At 42.5% G+C, this 27,893-nt stretch overlaps 2 protein-coding genes and 1 pseudogene across 11 annotated transcripts in view, besides 8 other annotated features; 2 read left to right on the top strand and 1 right to left on the bottom strand.

Annotated features, from left to right (window-relative positions):
* The window catches only part of MAP2K4 (mitogen-activated protein kinase kinase 4), a 122,952-nt gene extending 118,768 nt beyond the window's left edge, over positions 1-4,184 (bottom strand). For all 5 annotated transcript variants that reach the window (XR_007065381.1, XR_007065382.1, NM_001281435.2 and 2 more), the window contains exon 1: positions 4,060-4,184. Coding sequence is in view for 3 of the 5 variants with exons in the window: in NM_001281435.2 (NP_001268364.1) it covers positions 4,060-4,174 (115 nt within the window). In the remaining 2 variants the exon portion in view is untranslated. The remainder of the gene's footprint in view (positions 1-4,059) is intronic.
* Positions 3,468-4,347: a silencer, noted in NCBI's record as "silent region_8205". NCBI's record gives its function as "represses an Ori minimal core promoter by ATAC-STARR-seq in GM12878 lymphoblastoid cells {active_cell/tissue: GM12878}" and the evidence as "EXISTENCE:reporter gene assay evidence [ECO:0000049][PMID:35858748]".
* Positions 3,468-4,384: a biological region, named in NCBI's record as "H3K27ac hESC enhancer GRCh37_chr17:11923994-11924494".
* Positions 3,534-27,893, top strand: part of ZNF18 (zinc finger protein 18) — a 44,089-nt gene continuing 19,729 nt past the window's right edge. For 2 of the 6 annotated variants that reach the window (NM_001303282.2, NM_001303281.2), the window contains exon 1: positions 27,586-27,630. The gene's annotated coding sequence lies outside the window, so the exon portion shown is untranslated. Of the gene's footprint in view, positions 3,739-15,003; positions 15,069-15,866; positions 15,937-22,667; positions 22,807-26,641; positions 26,818-27,585; positions 27,631-27,688; positions 27,789-27,893 lie in introns of those variants that run through there. The other 4 variants (XM_024450909.2, XM_024450911.2, XM_047436649.1 and 1 more) reach the window with 4 other exon arrangements.
* Positions 3,884-4,384: an enhancer, noted in NCBI's record as "H3K27ac hESC enhancer chr17:11923994-11924494 (GRCh37/hg19 assembly coordinates)". NCBI's record gives its function as "activates a minimal SCP1, AML or CMV promoter by ChIP-STARR-seq in primed H9 embryonic stem cells {active_cell/tissue: H9 hESC(primed)}" and the evidence as "EXISTENCE:reporter gene assay evidence [ECO:0000049][PMID:30033119]".
* Positions 13,807-14,345, top strand: RPL21P122 (ribosomal protein L21 pseudogene 122; annotated as a pseudogene).
* Positions 26,522-27,505: an enhancer, noted in NCBI's record as "NANOG-H3K27ac-H3K4me1 hESC enhancer chr17:11900873-11901856 (GRCh37/hg19 assembly coordinates)". NCBI's record gives its function as "activates a minimal SCP1, AML or CMV promoter by ChIP-STARR-seq in naive H9 embryonic stem cells {active_cell/tissue: H9 hESC(naive)}" and the evidence as "EXISTENCE:reporter gene assay evidence [ECO:0000049][PMID:30033119]".
* Positions 26,522-27,887: a biological region, named in NCBI's record as "NANOG-H3K27ac-H3K4me1 hESC enhancer GRCh37_chr17:11900873-11901856".
* Positions 27,018-27,097: an enhancer, noted in NCBI's record as "active region_11735". NCBI's record gives its function as "activates an Ori minimal core promoter by ATAC-STARR-seq in GM12878 lymphoblastoid cells {active_cell/tissue: GM12878}" and the evidence as "EXISTENCE:reporter gene assay evidence [ECO:0000049][PMID:35858748]".
* Positions 27,168-27,407: an enhancer, noted in NCBI's record as "active region_11734". NCBI's record gives its function as "activates an Ori minimal core promoter by ATAC-STARR-seq in GM12878 lymphoblastoid cells {active_cell/tissue: GM12878}" and the evidence as "EXISTENCE:reporter gene assay evidence [ECO:0000049][PMID:35858748]".
* Positions 27,438-27,887: a silencer, noted in NCBI's record as "silent region_8204". NCBI's record gives its function as "represses an Ori minimal core promoter by ATAC-STARR-seq in GM12878 lymphoblastoid cells {active_cell/tissue: GM12878}" and the evidence as "EXISTENCE:reporter gene assay evidence [ECO:0000049][PMID:35858748]".

Raw genomic sequence — 27,893 nt, 5'->3', positions numbered from 1 at the left:
CTGCCTATGCAATTTCATTATAGAAGCTGTTGAATTCTCAACTGGCAAGCTCTATTAATCAGAATATGCTATTCTCTAACATGCCAACCATACTATCTAGTACTATTTGCTATACATATCTAAGATTAATTACCTGGTATAACGGGATCTTCTCTTTACAGGATTCACACTAACCCAGCTAAAGTCACGAGGCTTTAGATTTGCCACAAGGGAAAGCCCTAGCCATGGCTAGGAAGGTTCTTGAATGCTACAAGTCAATTCCGTACTTTAGGTTGGCTAAAATTTCTTGGACTAAAGAATAATACTTTTCCACAGAATGAGGCCCTAATATGCAAGAAATTTTCCTATTAAATCTATCTACATTAACAAATTATTGATGAAACATTAAGAATAAAAACATTTCTCAGAGTAGTTAATTTGAGTATTGTTTCCTCTCTCAAATGCAAACTCATCCTAATGCCAAATATACTTTCATAAAACCACTTACCTAACTTGGCAAACAGATCTACATTTTGTTAGCTTTAGTCATCAAAGAACCAAAGCCTAAGAACTACTCAACGTATAAAGGTTGGGTGTGTTTGTGAATGAACATGAAAAAAAAATGAGTCAGAATGAGTGAAGACACTCAAATCTTTTGAGTAATAACAAAATTAGCAGCTATTCCCTATTATCTGAGGGACAGTGGCAAAAATGGCCAGATTAGAAGCCATAACTGTTAGCATAAACATGCAACCAAAGCTACGTCTGTTGATTACTCTTATAATCAAATTCACTATAAATCCCATTCCAACCATCTACCCATCCCCTATGAAAAAAATGAGTAGAGCAAATTGATAGCTAGACTTCTGTTTCATATCGTTCACATTGTAATTCATTTGAGAGTCCTCAGATCCAGAAAAAAACAGATCCGGAGTTTGAAGTAGAATAAAATCTCATCTAGGATACTCTGAAAGGACTGCTCAATAATGAAAAGTGGGGAAATCAACAGGTTAGAGAGAACAGTGGGACCTAGTAATATGAACTAAAGAAATTGTGTGGTAAATAATGAGAGGTTAGGGACTCATTTACCAATAGTAAAAGGGACCATTAATGAGACCATAACAATATTGTCGCTACTAACAATGATGGCTAATGTGTATTGCATCCTTACTACATGTCAGGTCCCAGGCTTACATGCATTCTCAAAGCCACCGGGGAGGTAAGCGTTATTCCCACTTTCCAAGTGAGAAACTGAGGCTTCGAAAGGCCAAGTTCATTGCCCCTGGTCACAAAACGCATATCTGAATCCTGGCCAAGAGATTCAAACCCAGAACTCCAGAGCTCTGGTTCTTAAGCAGTATATTAAGAAAGCAATATTGGCCAGCCTGGACCACTCTTGGGCCATAAACATGAAGCCATGAAAAAGTATTCAAGGTTATCCAGTGCCCACCACAGTGCTTACCACATAAGAGGATGTCCAATGTCTACTGCATGAAACATTCCTTATGTTCCACAACTGAATCCTGCTGTTTCAGAGAGCATGGTCATTAACAACTCCCAGAAAGGAAGTTTTTTGAGTGGCAAGTATAATTAGATTGGGGGAGAAGGAATGGAAGTACATCAAACATCTTCTAAGGCCCACTCTGTGAAGTCTGATCTAAAGCAAAAGAAGACCCTTGGCAGATGAAGTACAGTATGGGAGGTGTGACTCCCATACAATTGGATGGGAATCTTTCTTTTTGGGTTCTTATAAGATTTCCTCTTCAAGGGCCTCACAATTAAGATACAGAACAAAACAAACCAAAAAGAAGGATCCTAAATTGCTGCTTAAGTTCAAGCTTTATAACAGACTGTTCTAGACAACATCCTGAGAATATCAAGCACTTCATTCTGACTAATGAAAAAAGTTTCAAGAACAAGATATAACACATTCCTGAATCAATCAAGACTAGACACAATATTGATAAAAAAGAAAATTCGGCAATAATTCATAGAGAGGTCTTAGGTCCTTTTTCCTTCTAAAATGGGTTCTGCTTATTAGAAAGTTTAGTTAACTGGGTATCAACATACAAGGGCTGAGGAGAACGGACAGCATCAGAAAAAGTCCTAACCACTGCCTTAGGAGTTCCTAGAACACTCCAAGCTCTTCCCTGCTTTGGAACCTTCATACACACAGTTCCTCTGCCTAGAACCGTCTTCAGGTAAAAGAGGGTTAGCTTTCCAGACAAGCCTTCTCTGACCATCTTATCAAGCGGACTGCCCTCTATTATCTTCTATCACAAAACCCAGCTTGTTACCTTTATTACTTTTCCAACTAGTAATTTTTCATGTTTAGCTAAATAGCCTTCCCTCCCCCATCTTCACAGGGGGATAACCTCCATGAGGACAGTTAGAGATGTTCAATTCTCTATAAACTCAGCATGAGCGTTTTATGCAGATGCTCAATAAATATTTTTTGAACCAAAAAAACACACTGTATCCAGCTATTTCAAACTGTCAGCCTCCCCACCAATAAAACAAACAAACAAATCACCTTGTTTTTATAAGCTTTGTAAGTCACCCATCTGGAACAAGAAATACAATCCTAAATTGTCATTTTGCCATTTCATTTCGCCCCAACCACCACCACCTAAATTGTAAAGCTGTACAGTCAGGAAGTCAATCTTATACTTCATCAGTATAATGTGCTGTGCAACACAGTGGGCATCCAATAACTAATTCAATTTGAATGAATTATCTGAGGGCCTGCACAGAAAGTGTCCTCTAAGCTCTGACATCATCCTGTCTATATATCTATCACTGGTTTTTATGTATATTAAAATTATTTCATGGGGAGGGTGACAGGGATGTAAAGATAAATAAAATCCTGTCTCTTCTTTCTGAATTATGGCATGCTCTATAAACATGAACTATTCAATAAATGTCTGTTGAACCTAACTAAATGCTAGAAGCCCTTTAAGAGGAATGGAATCAAAAAGTAACCATGGTCACACTGACTACCAAGGGTACCCCAACCCTTATTCTGTTAATAATTCAACACAAGCAGTTTGCTAAAGTTGTCAAGAGAGTTCTGAGATTCCCTGTTTTAAAAATAGCATTACTACTCAAAATTCCCCAGTAAATTTAAGGAAATGGTCCCTAACAGGCTCGGGCCTGGCCTGGTATTTTCACAACACCCCCTGTCAAAAGCCATACACAGCTAATAAGCATTCCCAGTGGGGAAAGTCATTAATTAGCAGAGCTGCCTCAAATGTCCAGACACTACAGTATCACTTTGACCCCTGTCTATTTCCTGTATCTCTCCATTTAAACCAAATTAAGTCTTCTTTTTTTTTTTTTTTTTTTTTCTTCCTGCACGCAATGCTAACACAGAAATCCCTGGCCTGGAACAAAATGCCTCTCCCAGGCCAATGCAGCCTACCTACCTTACAGGTGGCACAGGCCTGGGCAACCCGCCCCCCACCCCCATCCCTTCCAGCGCACAGAAACCCTGCAAAAGTTTGAAAACGCAGGTTCCAAGAGGCCCCCGTAGCCCGAGGTCAGCTCGGTGGTCCGGCTCCAGCTGTGCCCGGCGACAGCCAAGATGGCCCTGAGCGGGGCCCACTGCGGCGGCGGGGCCGAGGGGCGCCGGCCGGGGCCGCTGTCTTCGCCGCCTACCTGAGCGGCGTCAGGGACCAGGGGGCAGGCCCGACGCCCCTCCCGCTCCGCCGCAGCCCCGAGCCGGCGCGTTCCCGGAAACGGGGGCCGGGCGGGCGCCAGGTAAGCGGCGGGGGCGATGGGGACGGCCGCGGGGGCGGTCCCGGACCAGGTGGGCCCTGCGGGCCTGCTGAGAGCCCGGTAGGGCCCAGGGGCCAAGCGCAGGCAGAGGCCGCGGCCGGGGCCTATGCGGGCCGGAGCCCGGATCCAAGCCGGGCCGGAGGCGGCCGGGAGCGGGGCGGGAAGCCGGGGAGGGAGAGAGGGAGAAGCCGGCGGCTGCCGTGGCTTCCTCAGCCGGGTCCGGGGGCGTCCGCTGGGGCAGGCCGCGACGACGCGGGTTGCCGCGCTAGGGGGCTGGGATCTCGGCGCGGCCGCGTTCCTTACCCTGCATGCTGCTGACGGCCGGGTGGCCTGGCGCCGGGGACCCTACGGGGCCGGGGGTGCCGCTGCCGCTGCCGCCCCCGGAGCCGCCGCCGCCGCTCGGGCTCGGAGCCGCCATTGTTGGGAGTGAAGAGCCGAGCGGCGCCGCGGCGGCTGCAATGCAGCAAGCTCGGCCTCTCGCACGGCCGAGGGGCGAGGCTTACCCCCGCCTTGGCCCCGCCTCCGACACGCCCCGGACACGCCTCCTGACACGCCCCCGCCAGAGCCCGACGCGCAGCCCGGGCCAGATGCTGAGCTGCAGAACCGCCCGGCTCTGGGTGCGCGACCTGTGAAGCAGACAGCTGTCTTGGACCAGGGCTGCGGGCCCGCGGGGCCTAAAGTGGTTTGCAGAATTAAAGGTGGGCCTGCATTTGTGCGGAAAGAAGGTACGCAGCTTTCATCATTCCCATGGAGGTCTGTGACTCCCAAAAGTCCACTTTGTTGGAATCTCAGAACCCCAAATCAGAATAGTAAAGCTGAAAAGGATCCCAGGGATCCCTTTCTCCTCCAGTCGCTAACACATCACTTCCAGAAGGGAGTTACCTAGAGCTATGGTTACAGTCTGGAACTCCTCTTAAGCCCAATACCCCAACCCTCTACACTTCTCTGAGGGGAAAGGGGAGTCCCAAGGGGAACTAACCAAAGTGCTGTCCATGGACCCATCCCAAAACTACTGAATTAGAGGTTACATTTTAATAATACCACCAGGTAATTTGTATGCCCATTAAATTTGAGAAGCATATATTTAAGCACTCGACACTTCCCAGCCTCCTGAAATATGCTATCTACATCACCATCTTCCCCTAAATGCACACTGGATTCCCTCTCCCAAATCCTTTACATCTTGTATAAGACGAGCCGTAGTCATTATTGTAAGTTACATAAAATGACAACCCCAAAAAACAATATGAGGTTTCTTCCATTGCTTTGCACAGAGACTTTTATTTTAGGAAGACAGTAGCTAAAAGAAGAAAAAGTTCTCTATGAGGCTACGATTTGTAAGCCAACCATAATGTACTCGAAATGGTAAGACATGGGTTTCTGGCCAGGCAGCCTTGCCTAAAATGGAATAGCCAGTTATCCTACTTCCCAAAGAATCTAAGCCATGGAGCTGGACATTTTCTCCCATTTAGAAGCATTGTGTGATCTACAGCTAGACTTCTTTCCCAAAACTTCTTCCACCCAGATGTTATTTGATGCTGAGAGTTCTTCACAGCATGTTGGAAATGTGTCCTGGGTCAAAATAGCCCTGCCTTCTTGTTCCAAACCCAATTTCATCCATCATCTTGATGGCTCAGATCCTAAAAGTGGCTAGCCGTAAACATCAAGTGGAGAGGCATTAAAGGCAAATTGAAGGTGAGAGCAGGTAGGTGTACTTCAGTGGAGAGCCCGCCAGAATTCTCCTCCATGGGCCTCGTTGGCTGCCCAATATCTTCAAGTCCAGGTCTTATAAACATGGCCAGATTCCCATCTGGAAATCAGTAGCCCACCCAGCTCTTGTTGCTCCTAGGGCATCTTAATTATGAGCCATCATAACTGGCCTTTAATAAGAATTTAATATATATTCTTTTAATAGAAATCCTAGAAGCAGCACTACAGATTAGGCAACTACTAGAAAATTAATTTAAACACACACACACACACACACACACACACACACACACACACACATCCAATATTATAAATAACATATATTAAAGAAGGCTGGGGATGTTGGCTCACACCTGTAATCCCAGCACTTTGGGAGGCCAAGGCGGGTGGATTACGTGAGGTCAGGAGTTAGTGACCAGCCTGGCCAACGTGGTGAAACCCTGTCTCTACTAAAAATACAGAAAAAAACAAAAATTAGCCGGTGTGGTGGCAGGTACCTATAATCCCAGCTACTAGGGAGGCTGAGGCAGGAGAATCGCTTGAACCTGGGAGGCAGAGGTTGCAGTGAGCCGAGATTGTGCCACTGCACTCCAGCCTGGGTGACAGAGCAAGACTCCATCTATTAAAAAAAATATGTATATATATAGTTATATTTATATATATATAGGAAAACCTTCAACCTAGCAAATTCATTAAGGGAAATTGGGAAACTGAATTAAAAGAGAAATACAATAAAAATATAACTAATCTTATTTTTAAGAATACCTAATTCTGAGTTTGTGATAAAACTGACATATACTTGCATTGCTGTTGGTATTGTAAACTAGTAAGAGCCAATAATTAGATGTGCATATGGCAAAAACAAGAAAGCACTTTGATTTGTTCCAACTGAGGAAGCTATGTATGAGCTTTTTAACTTTTTCTTATGCTCACATTTCTCTTACATATTTGTGTTTTATGATTTCTTATGGACTAAATTGTATTCTGCTCCCTCACCAAATTTACATGTTGGAGTCCTAACCCCCAGCATCTCAGAATGGGACTATATTTGGAAATAGGGTCTTTAAAGTAAAATGAGGTCATACGAGTGGGCCCTAATCCAATAGGACTGGTGTCTTTATAAAGAGATTAGGATGCAGACACACAGAGCTAGGAGAAGATGATCATCTACAAGCCACAGAGTGTGTCCTCAAAAGACACCAACTCTGCCTACACCTTGGACTTCCAGCCTCCATAACTGTGAGAAAATACATTTATGTTGTTTATTGGTTCTTTTGCTATGACATCCCTTAGCAAACTAATACACAGTTCAGAAAAATGAATTGCTTAAAAAAAGTTAACCTTTTTAGTAATAATGGTGGTAGCTGGCATAATCACTGGGGAGACGGGAAGGCAATTAAGCAATACATATGAATAACCAGCAAATTTACATTTATAAGATATCCTTGAGGAAATCCCCAAATGGGCCTGAAACTCCTGGCTCTGCCATGTAGTGATTTTATCTTCCCACTAGAGTAGATGAAAATAACAAATTAAGATGATTTCTAAGAGGAATGTATGGCAATATCAAAGTCCCCCATCCTGAAAGAGGCTGCAGAGAAAGAGTAACGTCTGTGTATTCCTTGCTTAGAGAACCTTTGTTGAGAAATCTAGCTTGCTTGTTTTTTATGATACATATGTCAATGGTTAGACTAAAAATACATTTTTTTTTTTTTTTGAGATGGTGTTTCGCTCTTGTTGCCCAGGCTGGAGTGCAATGGCGCGATCTCGGCTCACTGCAACCTCCGCTTCCTGGGCACAAGTGATTCTCCTGCCTCAGCCTCCCGAGTAGCTGGGATTACAGGCATGTGCCACCACACCTGGTTAATTTTTTACTTTTAGTAGAGACGGGGTTTCACCATATTGTTCAGGCTGGTCTCGAACTCCCGACCTTAGGTGATCTGCCTGCCTCAGCCTCCCAAAATGCTGGGATTACAAGGGTGAGCCACTGCACCCAGCCTCAAGAATACATTTTTCATTTCACATTCCAAATAAAGAAAAAGTAATTTACAACTGGATTTCACCTTAGGACCCCAATTTCAGCCTCTGGGAAAGAAACAAGGTCAGACACCTCTATTTGGATGGAACAGTCACCAGATATTCCATATAGCCTTAGCAATTGTCTTTGAGCAAAACGCCCACCCTCAAATTGCCAAGGGCTCAGGACCAGGCCACCCAGTGACGGATGTTGCCTCTTCAGGCAGAGAGCTGCAAGCTGTGCAGGTTTCTGGATGTCATTCGAGCACTGAATTTAATTGGAAATACAGGGCCTGTGAGAAACTTTGACCAGTTCATGCCATTAAAGAACCAAAGTTTCATCTGGTTCAGATAAAAGAAGATGTTACTAATTTTTTTTTTTGAGACAGAGTCTTGCTCTGTTGCCCAGGCTGGAGTACAGTGGCATGATCTCAGCTCACTACAACCCCTACCTCCAGGTTCACGTTATTCTCATGGCTTAGCCTCCCAAGCAGATGGCACTACAGGCGCACATCACCATGCCCAGCTAATTTTTTGTAATTTTAGTAGAGATGGGGTTTCACCATGTTGCCCAGGCTTGTCTTGAACTCCTGGCCTCTGGTGGTCCACCCGCCTTGGTCTCCCAAAGTGCTGGAATTACAGACGTGAGCCACCGCACCTGGCCAATATTACTATTTTGACTATTAATAATCATGCATATGTATAAAGATTTATAAGAAAATGTTCATGACAACATTATTTATAAGAGTAAAAGAATGGAAATACCTCACTCTAAGTCATTACAAAAGGTGAATACCATGCTACCATTTATGCTAGTGAATACCATGGTCTGACCAAATACAAACATATTACGGAAGTATAGGATTCTATTCTGCAAGAACTACACCCACAACCTGTCCACATACTCTGTATTCTGTTGCTCTAACTTCACTGGAACAAAAAAAAAAAGGACTGGGCACAGTGGCTCATGCCTGTAATTCTAGCACTTTGGGAGGCCAAGGTGGGTGGATCACCTGAGGTCAGGAGTTCAAAACCAAGGTGGGCAACATCGCGAAACCCCATCTCTACTAAGAAGACAAAAATTAGCCGAGCATGGTGGCGCATGCCTGTAATCCCAGCGACTCAGGAGGCTGAGGCAGGAGAATCACTTGAACCCAGGAGGCGGAGGTTGCAGTGAGCCAAGATCGTGCCACTGCTCTCCAGCCTGGGAGACAAAGGGAGATTCCATCTCAAAAAATAAATAAATAATTTGAAATAATAATAATAAAAAGAAATAAACAAGTAAAATACAGGGAAGGAAGCTTGAAGATTAACTGGGAAGGAGAAAAAGGAACTTTCTGGGGTAACGGTCATATTCTATACCTTGATAAGAGTTTGGGTCACACAAGGGTAAGCACTTGTCAAAATGCAGCAAATATATGCTAAAGATTTGTGCATTTCATTGTATGTAAATTTTACATCAAAAGAAAAACCTGTAAACAAATATCAGGCTGAGTGTGGTGGTTCACGCCTATAATCCCAGCGCTTTGGGAGGCCAAGGCAGACAGATTACTTGAGGTCAGGTGTTTGAGACCAGCCTGGCCAACATGGCGAAACCCTGTCTCTACTAAAGATACAAAAATTAGCTGGGTGTGGTGGCGCATGCCTATAGTCCCGGCTACTCAGAAGGCTGAGTACCAAGAGAATTGCTTGAACCCGGGAGCCAGGGGTTGCAGTGAGCCGAGATCGCGCTGCTGGACTCCAGCCTGAGTGACAGAGAAAGACTCTGTCTCAAAAAAAAAAAGGAATACAAATATAAAACTCTAGCTAATTATAGGAGTCCTGCAGTATTTAACAGGACATAATGCTGATATCTGCAATTTACTTTGAAAAAATGGTTGAATGATAGGCGAGAGGGATAGAAAGATGGATAGAGATATGCTAAAACAAGCATAATAAAATGTTAATAGTGACATCTAGGTGGTGGATAGACTGCTACTAACTACAATTTTTTCCACTGTGTGTCTGAAATTTTTTAAAATAAAATATTAGGGAATATAAAAAACATAACAAAACTAAAAATGTCACACAGAAGTTAAACATTTTGCTAAATTGTATTACTCGCTAGAACAAAATAACAAACCAAGTACTGTAACTTCTAACAACTAAGTCTGAATTTGTCCAACTAATATAATCTTACTGGGTAGGTTCTGATAAAAATAATGACTTATTGAAATGTATCTAAAAGAAAGGAATCACCTAGGGCGTAGCCAAGAAAGGGCCTCACATGCAAAGGCATGTATCAAATGTGGTCTTATGTGAGACCACAACAAGCATCTCTGGCTAACTCAAGATTGTGGAATTTAATAATTAGTTGGGGGAGGGCATTGTGGGTTTGGTTTTGCTTTTGAGATTAGGTAACAATATTGGGTTTGAATTTAATAATACTGTTTTGTTTCATTGTGTTTAAGTTTTATGAAGCTATAATTCATATACCATATAATTCACCTACTTATAGTATATAATTCAGTGGGGTTTTTTTTGTTTTTTTTGAGATGGAGTCTTGCTCTGTTGCCCAGGCTGGAGTGCAGCGGCTTGATCTCGGCTCACTGCAAGCTCTGCCTTCCGGGTTCACGCCGTTCTCCTGCATCAGCCTCCCGAGTAGCTGGGACTACAGGCACCCGCCACCATGCCTGGCTAATTTTTTGTATTTTTAGTAGAGACGGTTTCACCGTGTTAGCCAGGATGGTCTCGATCTCCTGACTTTGTGATCCGCCTGCCTCGGCCTCCCAAAGTGCTGGTATTACAGGTGTAAGCCACCGCGCCCGGCCAATTCAGTGGTTTTTGTACATTCACAGTTGTGCAACCATCACAACGATCAAATTTAGGACACTTTTATCATCCCGAAAGGAAACTTTATACCCTTTGCAGTTGCTCCCCATTGGACTCCAACTGCCCCTACCCCTAGCTTTCAGCAACTACAAATCTACTTTATGTCTCTATATATTTGCCAATTCTGGACATTTCATACAAATGGAATCATACAGTACGTGGTCACACAATACGTATCTAACTTCTTTCACTTACCATAATGCTTTTAACGTTCATCTATGTTGTACCATGTATCAATGTTTCATTCCTTTTTATGACTGGATAATATTATATTGTATGGATATATCACATTTTGTTTATCCATTTGTCTATTGATGGACATTTTGGGTCACTTCCACTTTTTGGCTATTAGGAATAATGCTGCAATGAGCATTTGTACAAGTTTTCCTGTGGACATATATTTTCAGATCTCTTGTGTATATACATAGGAGTGGAACTGATGAATCTTATGGTAGCTCTATGTTTAACCATTTGAGGAACTACTAGACTTTTTAAAGTTGCTGCATCATTTCAGATTCCCACTAAGAGTATGAGGGTTTCAATTTCTCCACAATTTCACCAGCACTTGTTATTATCTGGCTTTTCTATTATAGCCACCCTAGTGAACAACATTATGTTTTGAGGCATTTCATCTACAATATCCAATGAAGAGGACATTGGCCGACATTATATTTCTTATAAACTAAAAATGAAATATATGTTCATTTCAAGAGGAGTTACCAAAACATGAACTCTCGTGACCATCTGTCAGTCACTTTTGGTCCCAGCACATCAAATTCAACCAATCAAAGCTCAAGAAAGCCTTACTCTTTTCCAAATTGTTCCATACAGGTTTGTTGTCTTACTCTAACCATCAGATATCAGCAACTAAATTCTGTTAGTAGTTGATGAAGCACTTTATCAGCAATATAGAATAATTGAAAAATTATTGTTAGACACATAGGAAATTCTCTGTTTTTAGAATGTTGAAAAGAATTAAGTTACCTGACATTTGGAATTAATAGCAAAATAAAGAATACCCAACAAAAAAATGTTAATGAGCAGGAGAGAAATGTCATAAGAATGAAAAAACCTAAATTAGGTGACAAAACTAATTAGGAAGACTAGAAATAGACTCAAATACTTTTGAGAATATAGTATAATTAAAGGTGAGATCTCAAATAAAGGTAGAAATTTGCTAAAAAGTGAACTTGAATCCATAGCTCAAACTTTAAATCTAGATGAGTTCCAAATGGATCAAAAATCTTAGTATTAAAGAAAAAATAAGAAACCATGAAGATATAAGATAAGCCCATCATTTCTAAGAACGACACAAGTCAAAAGATGAAATTTCTAAAAAATTCTCTTAGCAAAAAACACAATAAGCAAAGTCAAAAGACAAACTGCTAACTGGGAAAATGTTTCAATTTATAACATGGATAAAGGATTAATTTCACTAATAAAAATTTCCTATAAATTGGCCAGGCACAGTGGCTCACGCCTGTAATCCCAGCACTTTGGGAGGCGCAGGTGGGTGGATCACGATGTCAAGAGATGGAGACCCTCCCAGCTAACACGGTGAAACCCCATTTCTACTAAAAACACAAAAATTAGCCGGGCATGGTGGCACATGCCTGTAGTCCCAGCTACTTGGGAGGCTGAGGCAGGAGAATCACTTGAATCCAGGAGGCGGAGGTTGCAGTGAGCCGAGATCGCGCCACTGCACTCCAGCCTGGTGACAGATCAAGACTCTGTCTCAAAAAAAAAAAAAAATTCCTACAAATCAACATGAAAAAGAACAACAACCTAATAGAAAATTAGGCCAAGAAAATTAACAAGTGGATCACAGAAAAGGAATATAAATGTCTCTTTAAAAATGCGAAGATGCGGACAGGCACATTGACTCACACCTATAATCCCAACACTTTGGGAGACCAAGGCAGGAGGATCACTTGAGCCCAGGACGTCAAAGCTGCAGTGAGCTGTGATCATGCCATTGCACTCCAGTCTGGGCCACAGAGGAAGATTTGTCTAAAAAAAAAGATGTAAATTAAAACCACATTGAGATATAATTTCTCAGTTATCTAGCAGATGAAGTTTAATAACACAATATATTGATGAAAGTGTGGGCAACTGGCATTCTTCTACATAGCTGGTGGGAATGTACATTGGCACAGCTCAATGGGGGACAAGTTAATAATGGCTATCAAAATTAAAAATGTATATACCCTTTAACCCAGAAATTATACCTCTAGACGTGTATTCTTACAGATATTCTCACGTTTGCAAAATGATATATGTCCAAGGTTACTGAATATAGTATTTTTGTAGCAAAATATTAGAATCAACTTAAATGTCCTTTAACAGGCAACTGAATAAACATGGAGCGAATACTACCCAGCTGTAAGAAGAGGAAGCTCTTTGTGTAGTGATATGGGATGACTATCAATATATATTGTTATCTTTTAAAAAGCCAGATGAAGAACACCATGGTTTGCTACTATTTGTTTTAAAGAAGGAGAAATGTATATGTAATATTTAGTTACTTGTTTTAAATTTATTTGGAAAGATACTGAAAATAATGAAAATTTTGGTGTCTCAAGAGAGAAACTGGGTGATTGGTGGACAGGATTGAGAGGGACACTTTACATTATATATTCTTTGGTAGCTTATGGACTGTAAATGTCATGAACATAATAGCTAATGAAAATTAATGAATTAAGATGTAACTGCTGGGCGCAGTGGCTCACACTTGTAATCCCAGCACTTTGGGAGGCTGAGGTGGGCAGATCACGAGGTCAGGAGTTCAAGACCACCCTGGCCAATGTGGTGAAATCCCATCTCTACTAAAAATACAAAAATTAGCTGGATGTGGTGGTGCATGCCTGTAATCCCAGCTACTCAGGAGGCTGAGGCAGGAGAATCACTTGAACTTGGGAGGCAGAGGTGGAAGTGAGCCAAGATCGTGCCACTGCACTCCAGCCTGGGCGACAGAACTAGACTCCGTCTCAAAAAAAAAAAAAAAAAAAAAAATTAAGAACATTTGGCTGGGCATGGTGGCTCACACCTGTAATCCTAGCATGTTGGGAGGCTGAGGTGGGCAGATCATGAGGTCAGGAGATCGAGACCATCTTGGTCAACATGGTGAAACCCCATCTCTACTAAAAACACAAAAATTACCTGGGTGTGGTGGCGGGTGCCTGTAGCCCCAACTACTTGGGAGGCTGAGGCAAGAGAATCGCTTGAACCCGGAAGTCAGAGGTTGCAGTGAGCTGAGATCGCACCACTGCACTCCAGCCTAGGCGACAGAATGAGATTCTGTCTCAAAAAAAAATAATAATAAAAATGATGGAACTAAATCAGGATGATGGATGTCCTTTCTTTTGTTGTTAAATAAACATTCTTATGAAACAGCAAATATTTATTACCATACATTTATATTCTTTTAAAGTTTCATTCAAAATATGATTCAGGGGAACCGCCATCTTCCAGTAATTCACCAAAATGATGAACACAAAGTGAAAGAGGAGAGGCACCCGATATATGTTCTCCAGGAGTTTTAGAAAACATGGAGTTGTTCCTTTGGCCGTGCACAGGCGAATCTAGAAGAAAGGTGATATTATAGACATCAAGGGAATGAGTACTGTTCAAAAAGGAATGCCCCACAGGTGTCACCATGGCTAAACTGGAAGAGTCTACAATGTTCCCCAGCATGCTGTTGGCATTTGTTGTAAACAAACAAGTTAAGGGCAAGATTCTTGCCAAGAGAATTAATGTGTGTATTGGGCATGTTAAGCACGTGAAGAGCCAAGATAGCTTCCTGAAACAAGTGAAGGAAAATTATCAGAAAACTAAAGAAGACAAAGAGAAAAGTACCTGGGGTTCAACTGAAGTGCCAGCCTGCACTGCCCAGAAAAGCACACTTCGTGAGAACCAGTAGGAAGAAGCCTGAGGTGCTGGAACATATTCCCTATGAATTCATGGCATAGTAAGTGTTTAAAAAATAAAAGACCGGCGGGGCGCAGTGGCTCACGCCTGTAATCCCAGCACTTTGGGAGGGTGAGGTGGGTGGATCACGAGGTCAAGAGATCGAGACCATCCTGGCCAACATGCTGAAACCCCGTTTCTACTAAAAATACAAAAAAATTAGCTGGGCGTGGTGACGGGCGCCTGTAGTCCCAGCTACTTGGGAGGCTGAGGCAGGAGAATCTCTTGAACCCGGGAGACAGAGGTTGCAGTGAGCCAAGATTGCGCCACTGCACTCCAGACTGGCGAGAGAGCAAGACTCCATCTGGAAAAAAAAAAAAAAGTTCAGAAACAAATGTTTTGGAAGCAGTTTTAAAGAAAAGCAGTCTGTTCTTGTAAATACATTCTATTTTACTTACACAAAACTTTTCCTTTTTTCTCTTTAAGTCACCAGAAAATAAATGTACTGAGTTTCTATTCTTGGCTCAGATTCAACTAGAATAGCGAAGAATTACAAGATATATAAATGAAAAATCCTGTTCATTTAGTAAACATTTCATACTATATTTATACAGTGAAATTCATTGATAGTACTTTTTTTTTTTACTTATAAGTTTTTATTGGTTCTAATTAAGCCTGAGAATAAAGTCTTGTGAAACTGTCCTCTCCATTACTGTCTATTCTAATCTATTCTCGACAGGCACCACAATAAAGCTTTCACCCCTGTTTTGGTCTGTTATATCCAAGCCACATGTGCAGTCAAGGAAAAGGTGATGTTCCTGTAGTCTTTTCTAAACTACCATCTGCTAATATTACATAGATAAGCCATATTTTAGGCACTTTTTTCTACCATCTCACAAATCTGTATGTTGGAATTCTAGGAATATATGTTAATAGATCATTTGGTGTATTTTAAGTGGTTTTTCAAGAAGCAAAGTTAGGGTATTTGTTGTTTCTTTTACGTCTCACGCAGGCAGGAGCAAGGAGGGATGATTTAAAAGCTCAGGAATGGCCAGGCGCGGTGGCTCACGCCTGTAATTCCAGCACTTTGGGAGGCTGAGGCGGGTGGATCACTTAAGGTCAGGGGTTCGACACCAGCCTGGCCAACGTGGTGAAACCTTGTCTCTACCAAGAATACAAAAATTAGCCGAGCATGGTGACGGGCGCCTGTAATCCCAGCTACTTGAGAGGCTGAGGCAGGAGAATTGCTTGAATCTGGGAGGCGGAGGTTGCAATGAGCCAAGATCATGCCACTGCGCTCCAGCCTGGGTGACAGAGCAAGACTCTGTCTCGAAAAAAGAAAAAGAAAAAAAAAAAAAAAGCTCGGGAATGTATGGCACAGAGATGGGTGGAAATTGATCATGGAGGACCATAGGACCCTGTTTTCTAGAGGTCCAAATGATACAATTTGGAATAAAAGAACGTCTCTGCCTTGAACCCAAGGCTGTCCTCCTGGAACCCTGAGTGGAGCAGGCAGTTCTAGAAGCAGCCATGTAGGGATAAAAGGATGGCAAAAAAAAAAAATTGTCTACACCAACCCATGTCTCCTCGAATATATCTGTTTTCAGGTATGTGAAGGAAAGCTAAGATAATTCAGTGGATTCTTCACTGGGAAAAAGGCCAGATTCCAGTTTATAAGTGAGTATAACCCTGAAGACTTGCCTCCTTCTCCTAGACAGGGCTTGAGATTTGAGTTCCTTTCTTCCCTTCATTTCCTCCAGTGAACACTGGCTGATATCTGTATAGCCTGTGCCCGTAAGTCAGGAATTTGCCAGGGTGTCACAATTGTAAATGCTATGCTCCGAATTTTGGACCATGGTATCTAAATTTTGGTTTTTGGGATATAGTTACAGTAGACCTAGACTAAATTCTTATCTGTTGACCTTGACCAAATTCCTTCCTATTTCTCTTTTGGGAGTTCCCTGAATAATAAGGATCTTGTGGGGAACAACAGTTCCTAGTGGCCTACCATCTGGTGGAGGCCACAGACTGATTAAGTAAGTATCAAGTGAACTGTGGGATAAGGGATTTGGCAAGGGCAGTGCCCTGCCCAATCTTCAGTAGTCAGCTTCTAGGCCCTCTGACCAGCAAAGTCTTCAGACATCCCCAGCAGGCTCTACAGCTCAGACTCTGAGGGGAGCATCATTAACCTTGACTCCTCTGCCTTCTGGAGAATATTTGAGCGCAAACTTGCTCAAATACCTTCAGGGTCCAGATGGTACTGTAAGTATGTTAAAGGAACATGATCTAAAGGGATGGTCAAAGCTGGGCATGGTGGCTTGAGCCTGTAGTCCTAGCTACTTGACAGGCTGAGGCGTGAGGATCCCTTGAGCCCAAGAATTCAAGCCTAGCCTGGGCAACGTAGCTAGACCCCCATCTCTGAATAATAATAATAATAGTAGTAATAATGGGATGGTCAGACTTATGACTCACTGCAAATTGCATGCACCACTAAAAGGCATTCCAGTTCAAGTAAATTTTTAAAACTGTGCTTGCCAAAGAAAATACATGCTGCCAGTTTCCAACTTCTGGTTGGAAGGGTCCACATCAATCTCAGAGAAGAGAACTGATCTTGGATAGAACCCTGTAAGCTTAAATGAATGCATTCCTTGCTTAATTCCGGGTAACCAGCCTCTTCCAAGATGGGGTTTCTGTTTGGTGCCTTGGCTACATGCTGCTGCTTCTTCGTATCTCCACGGGCAACCCGAGGCACTCTGCAGTGGCCCTCCTCAAGACTCTACAGCAGACCACTGCTGCTGATTAACTTTATTTTCTTTCCGTTCTCTGAGCACCACCACATTATGGATTTTTTTTCAACCCTGGTGTCTGGTTAATTCCAATCATCTTCTCTCTCTGTGTTCCCCAGTGTTCAGACCCTTTGTGCTAATTAGCAGTGACAGACGTGTCACCAATCTTGCTGTTTCTCCAGGGGAAGAAAAAGCTTGCTTTTTAAAATTGATCTGTGAGACCTTCAGGAGCCACCACATGCTCCTGGAAGCTTCTGTTAGAAGGAGAAAGGTTCAGTCTGAAAAACCAAATGCAGAGAAAATCTCAACGTGGGCAGGCGTCTAGCCATCCCCAGCAGCAGGTAGCAGGGACAGATGGGGCTTCCCACTGCTCAGTGCTGATGGGATTTTCAGGAGTCCTGGCTTTCAAGGTGAGATAGATGTCACAGACCCAGCAAGGGCAAAGTCTGACTGCCCAAAGTCAGCAGGGCCATCAGTCCAGCAAGGAGTCAGGCACCTGAATGTGAAGGAGGCCACGGGCAGCATCAAGTGACCGTACAAAAATCAGAATTCAGCTAACAAGGGGTCAAAGTGAGACATTTAGGAGGACCGAAGAAGAATTCTGGGTGGTGGAAGGTTTAAAGGGACATGGGGCCTCTTCCACAATCGCTCTAAGATTGTCACCTGTGTAGAACTCCCTAAGTTTTAAAGGATCCCTGGCTAATGAGATAAAGAAGCCTAAAGACTTCAGAAGCTTCCCAAATCTGCATCTGAAGGCTGCAGCTCTTTTTCTGGCAGGAACTGAAGCTCAAAAGGGAGATCAACATAGAGTCTTCACTGGGAGATGATGTCTCAGCATTTGGTGGTGAAGCTCTGTGACTGAAGCCCTGACCTCCTTCTTGGTAGAGGAGGCCAGAATCTTGACATCTTACCAGAACAGAGATTAAGCTCAGAGGCACATGCAGGACTCTAAAAAGACAGAAACAAAACAAAACAAAATAAAATAAAACAGTAAACATTGGCCTAACACACAAAACTACATTAATGGTAGTTAGCTATCTCTATGAGGCCACAGTCACAGAATTCCTTTGGGTTTTAATTTTTAGGTAAAAATATGATATTTATTACAGTATTACAGAATGTCTTACAATTTACATAATTAAATTCATTTAGTTGAGACTTTTATCATGTTTCTGATCATTACAGCTTTTTTCTTTCTTCTGGGATATCTGGATACTGTTGAAATACTGTGGCAAAAAAAACAGTATGGTAATATTTTTGCTCAGTTCTTTTTTTTGAGCTTCGGCACCTAGGTTGGAGTGTGGTGGTGAGATCATGGCTCACTGTAACCTCAACCTCCAAGGCTTAAGTGACCCTCCCACCTCAGCCTCCCAAGTAGCAGGGTCCACAGGTGTGCACCACCATGCCCTGGTAATAATTTATGCTCAGTACAAATAATTTTTTATTACTATTCTTTCTAGGAATCACCTATCCTAAAACACGTGATACATACAAATTACGATATCTCAATAACAGCTAGATTTTGCTGTGTGCCAAGGCACTGTTCTAGGTATTTTACATATATTGTCTCATTTAATTCTCTTAACAGTCCTAAGCATTAGGTGGCATTTTTATCTCTCATTTTACTAATGGGAGAATTGAGATGCATAAAGATGGCTGTAATATATTATTATATTGGGGATATTTATGTTAGGAGTTCCTGGATAAAAACCAGCCCAGAAACCTAGTTCTGTTTTAACTTCTTCCAAAGGCCTCCTGATTGCCAGTTAATTGTATTACTCCCTGTATTATTATCCTTCTTGCCCACATAAGTTTTGGCAACTAACATCTGTTTGTGTCCTGAAGTTTGAATTAATAGACAATTATTTATGAACATGGATTTGAATGCCACTCACAGATCAGTGCCAAAAGCATCACTTTGGAAGTTGTTAAAAAATCATACTTCCAGGCTCTACCTCTCAGATAATCTGATTCAGGAAAGAAGTCAAAATAATGTGGAATTAACATGCCCTCCATGTGAGTCTGATCTGCAGCCCAGTTTAAGAAGCTCCCAGATCTAGAACAGGGAGATCTACACTTTTTTGATCAATCATTCTTTTCTAGTAAAAGTATTTTGAGACTATGTAGCCACTGTTTGTATATGTATTTATTCATAAATAATATATACAGGTATTATTTTGCCTACATGTTGTACATTATAAAACATATTCAAAATTGAAAGTTAAAAAGTCTATGGTAAAAATGGAAAAATAATATTTTAAAATATGTATCTTATTTATTGAATAAAGTTCTCACCAGAAATATAATACACCTCATTATTTGAGCAAATCTTTAATACTCTGTGATACAGGAGTTTTAAAGTCGGGTTCTAAATTCAGTTTATTTTTGACACTTAGTTATAATGGTTGTCAAAAGTGAAAAAAGAAACCTCCCCAAACCTCCAAATGGATAAAGTACATCATTGGCAGCAGATACTAAGAATGATATTTGTTTTTCAATGCCATCTGGTAATTAAGCAAAAAATTTTGATGAAATGTGGCTACTAATTTCCATAGTCACTGATGTGAGTCAGTAGCTCTTGCAAACTAATTGGAAGAGACATTACATTTTCATAATTTTTACCGATGGGCTTAAAATGAAAAGCACAAAACTTTTTATACGGAATATTTTGTGTATTGATTTTCATGTATGAGAACCTCAAAAGAGGCCACCAGTTTCCATTTGATTTAATGAAGTTTCATAAAGTACTTGATAGAATATGACTTTAAACTTTGTTGAATTTCCTTCATGTTCTATATATATAATATATATGCATATATTAGTATCTGTGTATATGTATTATCTGTATATATAATCTGTATATATATAACTTCTGAGTCCATAACATGCATAAATATATATACATCACACATACATGCATATATATTTATATATACTTATATAAAGGTACAAATATATACACACGTATTTAAACTTAGTGTGTGTATAAATATATATTTAAACATTTAAAATCTAATTTACAAACTCAGTGTAAATATACACATAAATATACATCTTGTTAAGGTGCCATTCAGTATAGTGATAGAGATATAAATGCACATTTCTTTTCTTTTTTTTTTTTTTTTTTTGAGATGGAGTTTCACTCCTGTTGCCCAGGCTGGAGTGCAATGGCATGATCTTGGCTCACTGCAACCTCTGTCTCCTGGGTTCAAGCTATTCTCCTGCCTCAGCCTCCCAAGTAGCTGGGATTATAGGCATGCGCCACCACACCCAGCTAATTTTTGTATTTTTAGTAGAGACATGGTTTCTCTATGTTGGCCAGGCTGGCTTCGAACTCCCAACCTCAGGTGATCTGCTGCCTCGGCCTCCCAAAGTGCTGGGATTACAGGCTTCAGCCACCGTGCCCGGCCATAAACGCACATTTCTAGTAGATTTCTTAATATTTGAAATTATTTTGCTTGGCTTTGGTCGGATCTGATTCATTGGCATTATCATTACCTTCCAATGTATCTGCAAAAGGACTCAAGTTAGAAGTGTAACTATGCTATTTTATTGCTGTTTACATGTGCCTGCATTATTACTGTTATCTTCAAACTGAGATTATTTTGTTAAGAAACTTTAAACTAGGGTTAGTTAAATGTTAAGAAACATTTTGCTAGGGTTAGTTTAGTTAAAACTAGGTAATATAATCCATAAATCCACTGATTCCTGCACATACTAACTTCAGTATGTCTCAATATGTTGAATAAGTGAAAATGTAAGGACCTCACTTTTTTTTTTTTTGAGACACAGAGTCTCGCTCTGTCACCCAGGCTGGAGTGCAGTGGCGCAGTCTTGGCTCACTGCAACGTCCATCTCCCGGGTTCAAGCGATTCTCCTGCCTCAGCCTCCCGAGTAGCTGGGATTACAGGCGTGTGCCACTGCACCCGGCTAATTTTTGTATTTTTAGTAGAGACGGGATTTCACCATGTTGGTCAGGCTGGTCTCAAACTCCTGACCTTGTGATCCGCCCGCCTCAGCCTCCCAAAGTGCTAGGATTACAGGCGTGAGTCACTGCACCCGGCCCAGGCCCTCACTTTTAACTGCTCCATGGTGTGGGCCTCCTCACGTTCCCTTATGGCACCTTCTATATCCTGACTCAAGCCTGTTCAACATATGTGCAAACTAAGGAGCTGGCCAGTCCGTTGTATTCAATACCAGTGAAGCTTAACTTCTTTGTCGTGTCTCCAGGCCCATGGATTCAAAAGCTCAAAGGGGTCTGCCTAAGCATGGAATGACTTTTTAAATTTGAGAAAAATACCCATACCTACAAACACTTGCATACTGGGGAGTTAGTCATTGAAATCCTGAAGTCTCAGATTGAGAATACCTTGTCTAAAGACATTTTACGGCCTCAGGGAAAAATTTCATTTGGTGAGAGATGCATCAGGATTTATCCACCATATATACTTTTTTAAGGTATGCACTTTAGGGCTAATCCAGGCTTCTGGCCCTGTGTGTCACTTGTAGGCACTATAGGAAGTCATTTCCTAGCCCCACCTGAACCTTCTTGAACATCTTTTTTTTTTTTTTTTTTGAGACAGAGTCTCACACTGTCACCCGGGCTGGAGTGCAGTAGCACTATCTCGGCTCACTGCAACCTCTGCCTTCCCAGGTTCAAGTGATTCTCCTGCCTCAGCCTCCTGAGTAGCTGAGATTACAGGCGCCTGCCACCATGCCTGGCTTATTTTTTGTATTTTTGGTACAGATGGGGTTTCACTATGTTGGCCAGGCTGGTCTCGAACACCTGACCTTGTGATTCCAAAGTGCTGGGATTACAGGCGTGAGCCACCACGCCTGGCCTCTTGAACACCTTAAAGATCTCCTCTAGGACATCCCACATAAAACGTGATGTATGTTAGTATTTCTCCTAACTAGAGAAAAGCAGTTACCATCTTGTTTAATTCTCTGTTCTCTCAATAGTCCTTAAAAGACAATTCAGTTTCCTTCTGCCATGAGTTAAATCACTCTTTGCTCTATTGAAGTCAACAGGATACAAACTACATCTTGATGGCAGAGGGAGGGTGTCGGGAGTGGTTTCTGTTCTGGTCTCCCTTCCTTGTCCGTGTGGTAAGCCATTTCCACACAGCTTACACTGATATCCTCCATTGATGCCCAGGTTCCTTTCACCTTGAGTCAATCCGAATCTTTCTGCTCCTCAGTTCCAGGGAATTTTTGTTGAAATAACTGATCTGGCCCACAACAATCTCATGTAATTTAACTTCATCAATATATTCATTTCAAGTTCTCACAGTATCTCCCATGATAGTTTGCCCAAACCTTATACAATTTCTTTGAACAGCTTGTCCTGTTAGCCCTACTTTATCCTGGGACAAATGCAGCAGACAGAGGGCAGAGTATGGGATCTGCAGTCAGAAAAAGCAGAGTTTAAATTCAGCCTCAGTAACAATGTCTGCAGCTTTCAGTTACGCTCTTACACACTCTGGATCTCGATTTTCTTATCTCTACAATGGGAACAAAGATATTTGCCATGTCTGACTCTCATCAATGTTAGACTATTTTTTTCCCTAATTAAAAAAGTTAATATCTTTTTTATTTTTTTATTTTATATATTTTTTTGAGACGGAGGCTTGCTGTTGCCAGGCTGGAATGCAATGACACGATCTCAGCTCACTACAACCTCTGCCTCCCGGGTTCAAGCTATTCTCCTGCCTCAGCCTCCTGAGTAGCTGGGACTACAGGCGCACACCACCACGCCCAGGTAATTTTTGTGTTTTCGGTAGAGATGGGGTTTCACTATGTTGGCCAGGATGGTCTCAATCTCTTGACCTCATGATCCACCCACCTTGGCCTCCCACAGTGCTGGGATTAACAGGCGTGAACCACTGGGCCCAGCCAAAAAGTTAATATCTTTTAGTTTGTAAGAAATAGACTTGATCCTGCAGTTTTATTTTGTTTTCTCCCTCCCACCTTTCATCCTTTCTTTCTTTCTTCTTTTTTTCCCACAAGGTTCTTTTGCTCTATTGCTTTTACTTTTTTTTAAACCTCTTCGAACAACTCAGAATTTTTATTTTAAAATATCTTTCAGATTGCTCTATTATCTCTGAATTTTGGAGTGCATGTGCTTTCATTTTTTTAGTAACTAGTGATTTTCATTTATAATAGATTTTTAAAAATTTATTTTTAGTTTTAATTCATGAATAATAATTATATATTTATGGGGTATAATGTGACGTTTTGACATAGGTATACATTGTAAAAGTTTAAATCAAGTTAATACATTCATCACCTCACCTACTTATTTTTTATGGTGAGAACATTTAAGATCTACTCTTTTAGTGATTTTGAAATATACTTTGTTTGTTTGTTTGTTTGTTTGTTTGTTTTGAGACGGAGTCTCTCTGTGTCCCCCAGGCTGGAGTGCAGTGGCGCAATCTCGGTTCACTGCAAGCTCCGCCTCCTGGGTTCATGCCATTCTCCTACCTCAGCCTCTAGAGTTGCTGGGACTACAGGCACCTGCCACCACGCCTGGCTAATATTTTGTATTTTTAGTAGAGATGGGGTTTCACCATGTTAGCCAGGATGGTCTTGATCTCCTGACCTTGTGATCCGCCCGCCTCAGCCTCCCAAAGTGTTGGGATTACAGGTGTAAGCCACCGCGCCCGGCCCGAGGTATGCATTATTATTAACTACGGTTACCACACTGTGCAATAGATTGCTAAAACTTACTCCTCTTGTTTAACTGGAACTTTTTGTACCCTTTGATCAACACCTCTCTATTCCCCGTTTTCTCTGTACGAGGATTTGTTTTTGGTGTGGCTTGTAACTTTTGACTTTAAGCTCCTCTTTAGTGGAGATTGTTTTCTGTGAGTGTTCCATGTGGCCTAGATTATGTGAGTACCCAGAAGCCTTGTTATTCAAAAATCAATCTCTACTCAAGAACATTTTTCAGTAATTGTCACTTTTCTCCCCTTCCATACAAATTTTTCCTCCCTACTGGATCATTCTAATCAGTGTGTAAGCATGCTGTAAGATCTCCTAATTTGTCTCATTTTGCTATTTCTTTTTATAGCAAAACTTCTTGAATGACTTGTCTATATTTGCTGCTCTAATTCTTCTCTTCTCGTTCCTTATTGAACTTATTCCATTCAGGATTTCTCTACTCCCAACCACTCTTATAAGGTCAAGGTCACCAGTGATTTTATACTCCTGTTGCTCAGTCAATTCTTAATCCTCATCTTACATTTGATCATGGCATTTGATTAGTTGATGATTCTTTCTTTCTTCCTTTCTTTCTTTCTGACAGAGTTTCGCTCTTGTTGCCCAGGCTAGAGTGCAATGGTGTGATCTAGGCTCACTGCAACCTCTGCCTCCTGGGCTCAAGCGATTATGGGTTTATACCTTTTCTTAAGGTGCCAGTTTGTATATTACAGGCGTGCACCTCCACGCCCAGCTAATTTTGTATTTTTAGTAGAGACAGGTTTTCTCCATGTTGGTTAGGCTGGTCTCGAAGTGCAGACCTCAGGTGATCTGCCCATGTCGGCCTCCCAAAGTGCTAGGATTACAGGCGTGAACCACCACACCCAGCAATTCCTTCTTTCTTTGAACACTTTATGCAGTTGGCTTCCCGGATACCACTCTCTGTTTTCCTGCTACCTCAGTGGCTCCTCAGTTTCTTTCTCCTTTAATAGATTTTTCTTATTACCCTGACCCTATATGTTGGCGTGGTCCAGGGCTTGGTCTTTATAGTGCTTCTCTTTATTGTCACTCATTGTTTCATGGCCTAAACGTTTATGGGTGGGCCTGGTGGCTCGCACCTGTAATTCCAGCACTTTGGGAGACTGAGGTGGGTGGATCACCTGAGGTCAGGAATTTGAGACCAGCCTGGCCAACATGATGAAACTTCATCTCTGCTAAAAATACAAAAAGTAGCTGGGCACGGTGGCAAGCATGTGTAATCCCAGCTACTCAGGAGGCTGAGGCAGGAGAATCACTTAAACCTGGAGTCGGAGGTTGCAGTGAGCTGAGATTCTGGCACTACATTGGGCAACAGAGCAAGATTCTGTCTCAAACAACAACAACAACAAAAACTTTTGCAATTTCCTCTGCCTGGAGGTTCCCACAGATACACGCAAGGCTTGCGTCTTAATTAACTTCCGGTCTGGATTCAAGCCTGTTTTATCTGTTAGTCCTTCCCTGACCATCCTATATAACTTGCACTCCATCTCTAACAGTACCTCTCCTCCTTACCCCAATGTAATTTTCTTCACAACACCTATAATTACCACTTGTGCACTTATTTATTGTCCAGCTCACCCTACAAAATATAAGTCTTGGGAGGGCTGGGACTTTGTGTGTTTAGTTCATTCTTGCATATATAGCTATTGGAAGAGTGCTGGGCACATCATCTGGTAAATATTTATTGAATGAGTAAGTGAATAATAGAAATAGATGACACCTTTTCATTATTTCCTAAGCTGAGGTAGATATCTCCCTATTTTAAAAAATATTTTGATTGTTCAGCCTGTTTCGAAATAAGTGTTTATGCCTTTTCCTAAGGTGCCAGTTTATAAAGAAATTATTAAACTTCAAAGTGTCATTTTCATATCAGGAACCATCTACCAGGATTAGAGTTCTCAAACTGAGGTTTGTGGGTTCCAAGGATGGGTTTCAAGGCTGTGTTAGCTCCCTGGATTTGAGTGCAAAGTGTTGTATGTAGATGTGTATGTGCATTTTTCTTGGGAAAAATTTTACCTTCCATCAGATTCACAAAGGAGTCAGAACCCAATTAATGGTTTTGAATTACTGTTATCTTCCTTGGGTGTTGATCAGCTAAAAGCGAACACATTGAAGATAAAACTCCTATAATCTTCCCCTCTAAACCACCTTATCTCTTGACTTTCTTAGAAGCAGAGCACATTGATGTTGGAAGCAATACCCAATGAAGGTGTCCCTCTAAATGTGCCTGGTAAATTGTTAGCCATGCTGTCCTCAGGAACTCAAAGCAGCGCCATCAATCACATGAATGTTAGAAACGTCCAGCTAGGTGCCATGGCTCATGCCTGTAATCCCAGCACTTTGGGAGGCCAAGGTGGGTGGATCACTTGAGGTCACGAGTTCGAGACCAGCCTGGCCAACATGGTGAAACCCCGTCTCCACCAAAAATACAAAAAAAAAAAAAAAAAAAAAAAAAGACTAGAAACTTCCACCTATGTCAGGCTGAAACAGTAGTTTCACACATAGGATCTTGTTCAGACCCTGGGACTTAAGAGAACATGTCGAATCCCTTTTCCGCTGGTCACTTTTCAGGTACATGAAGATGTAATCCCATCCCCGCATCAAGCTTTATTTCTCCAGAGGAGGATCTTTAATTCTTGTAAACATGGGACAGGTACAGGACATGTTATGATAATGACAGGTACAGGACATGTTATGATAATGACAGGTACAGGACATGTTATGATAATGACAGGTACAGGACATGTTATGATAATGACAGGTACAGGACATGTTATGATAATGACAGGTACAGGACATGTTATGATAATGACAGCTCTTCTTTAAATTTTTATTTTTTATTTATTTTATTTCCATAGGTTATTGGGGAACATGGCAGCTTTTTTTGAATACCCTCCTCTTTGCCAGTTGCCCAAGGTGGAACACCCAAACTTTGACATGATACTTCCATTAATGCAACTTAGTATCACAAGTTGATGTCGTGGCCCAGCACAGGATGGCCTGGAAACCGGCAACACTGGACGCTGGGGAAAGGGTAAGAAGGTCTTGACCATTACAAATGGTGTGGAACTGAGCCGAGGGAGGGATAGTGAGAAGGGAGAGAGGGTGAGGTGTCTGAGAGACAATGAGGTCAAATCAGAGGATTCAGCCATTGTTGGCGTGTGGGAAAGGGAAGGAGAAGGGAAGAGTCAGGGATGACATTTGTTGAGAGAGAGAGAGAGAAGAGAGAGAGACGCAGGTGGAAAGAGGATGGCACCACATTGGACTAGCCCCAACGGAATGGGGAGAAGTGGGAGAGGACCCAGGGGATGCAGAGCTGATGAGAGTGGGAGAACCAAGACAGAGGAAGAAGGTTGGGGCAAATCAAGTGTCTCAGGGAGGCCCAGTGAGGCAAGAACGGAAAGGAGAAAGGCGGCGGTTAAGAATCAGGGATAATGGCAGAGCGTTGCAGCTCTGCGGGTGGGACTGGGCGGAAGGGTTTGGGAGAGACAAAGAAATGATCTTTGAAGGCCTCGCAGTGCTTGGCCGAGTGCCTGGCACAGAATAGGTGCGCAATAAATGACGGGTGAGAAGTGAAGGAACTCAGGAACAGTGATTAGTGAGTGAGTGACGGAAGGAACGGAGGATGGCGTTGGCTCGGGAACCTCGCTGCCATGTCGGTGGAGGCTCCTGGGCTGCAACGCCAGAGAGAGGCGGGGCGTCCCCGACGGCCAATAGGAGCTTCGGTATCAGCTCCGCCCCCGCCCCCTAGCTCCGCCCGGTGCCGCACGTCGTTCGCCTGCCGCCTGAGGCGCGCGCAGCCACCCAGCTCCCGGAAGTGCGCCCGGAGCCGGCGCCGCGGGCCGAGGTGAGCGCGCTTGCGGGGCGGTCCCGGCCTCCGGCCGCTCGGGGTCAGGCCTTGCGCTATCTGCGTCCGCACCTGACTCAGCTGGGCACCCCGGAGCTACGGAGGGGCCAGCGGGCTCCCTTGCCCATGCGTCTGGGAGCGCGCGGGGGACGTGGCGAGTGCGGGGCCGGGGCAGCCATGGCTGGGAGTGGACCGTGGGTGCGGGGGGATGTGTGAACCCCGTCCCGGCTCTGCATTCCTGCGCCTCTGCGCCCCGCGGGACC

The sequence above is a fragment of the Homo sapiens genome, chromosome 17 (genome assembly GCF_000001405.40).
Source record: "Homo sapiens chromosome 17, GRCh38.p14 Primary Assembly".
NCBI lineage: Eukaryota > Metazoa > Chordata > Mammalia > Primates > Hominidae > Homo > Homo sapiens.
This window is presented reverse-complemented; position numbering and strand designations above follow the sequence as displayed.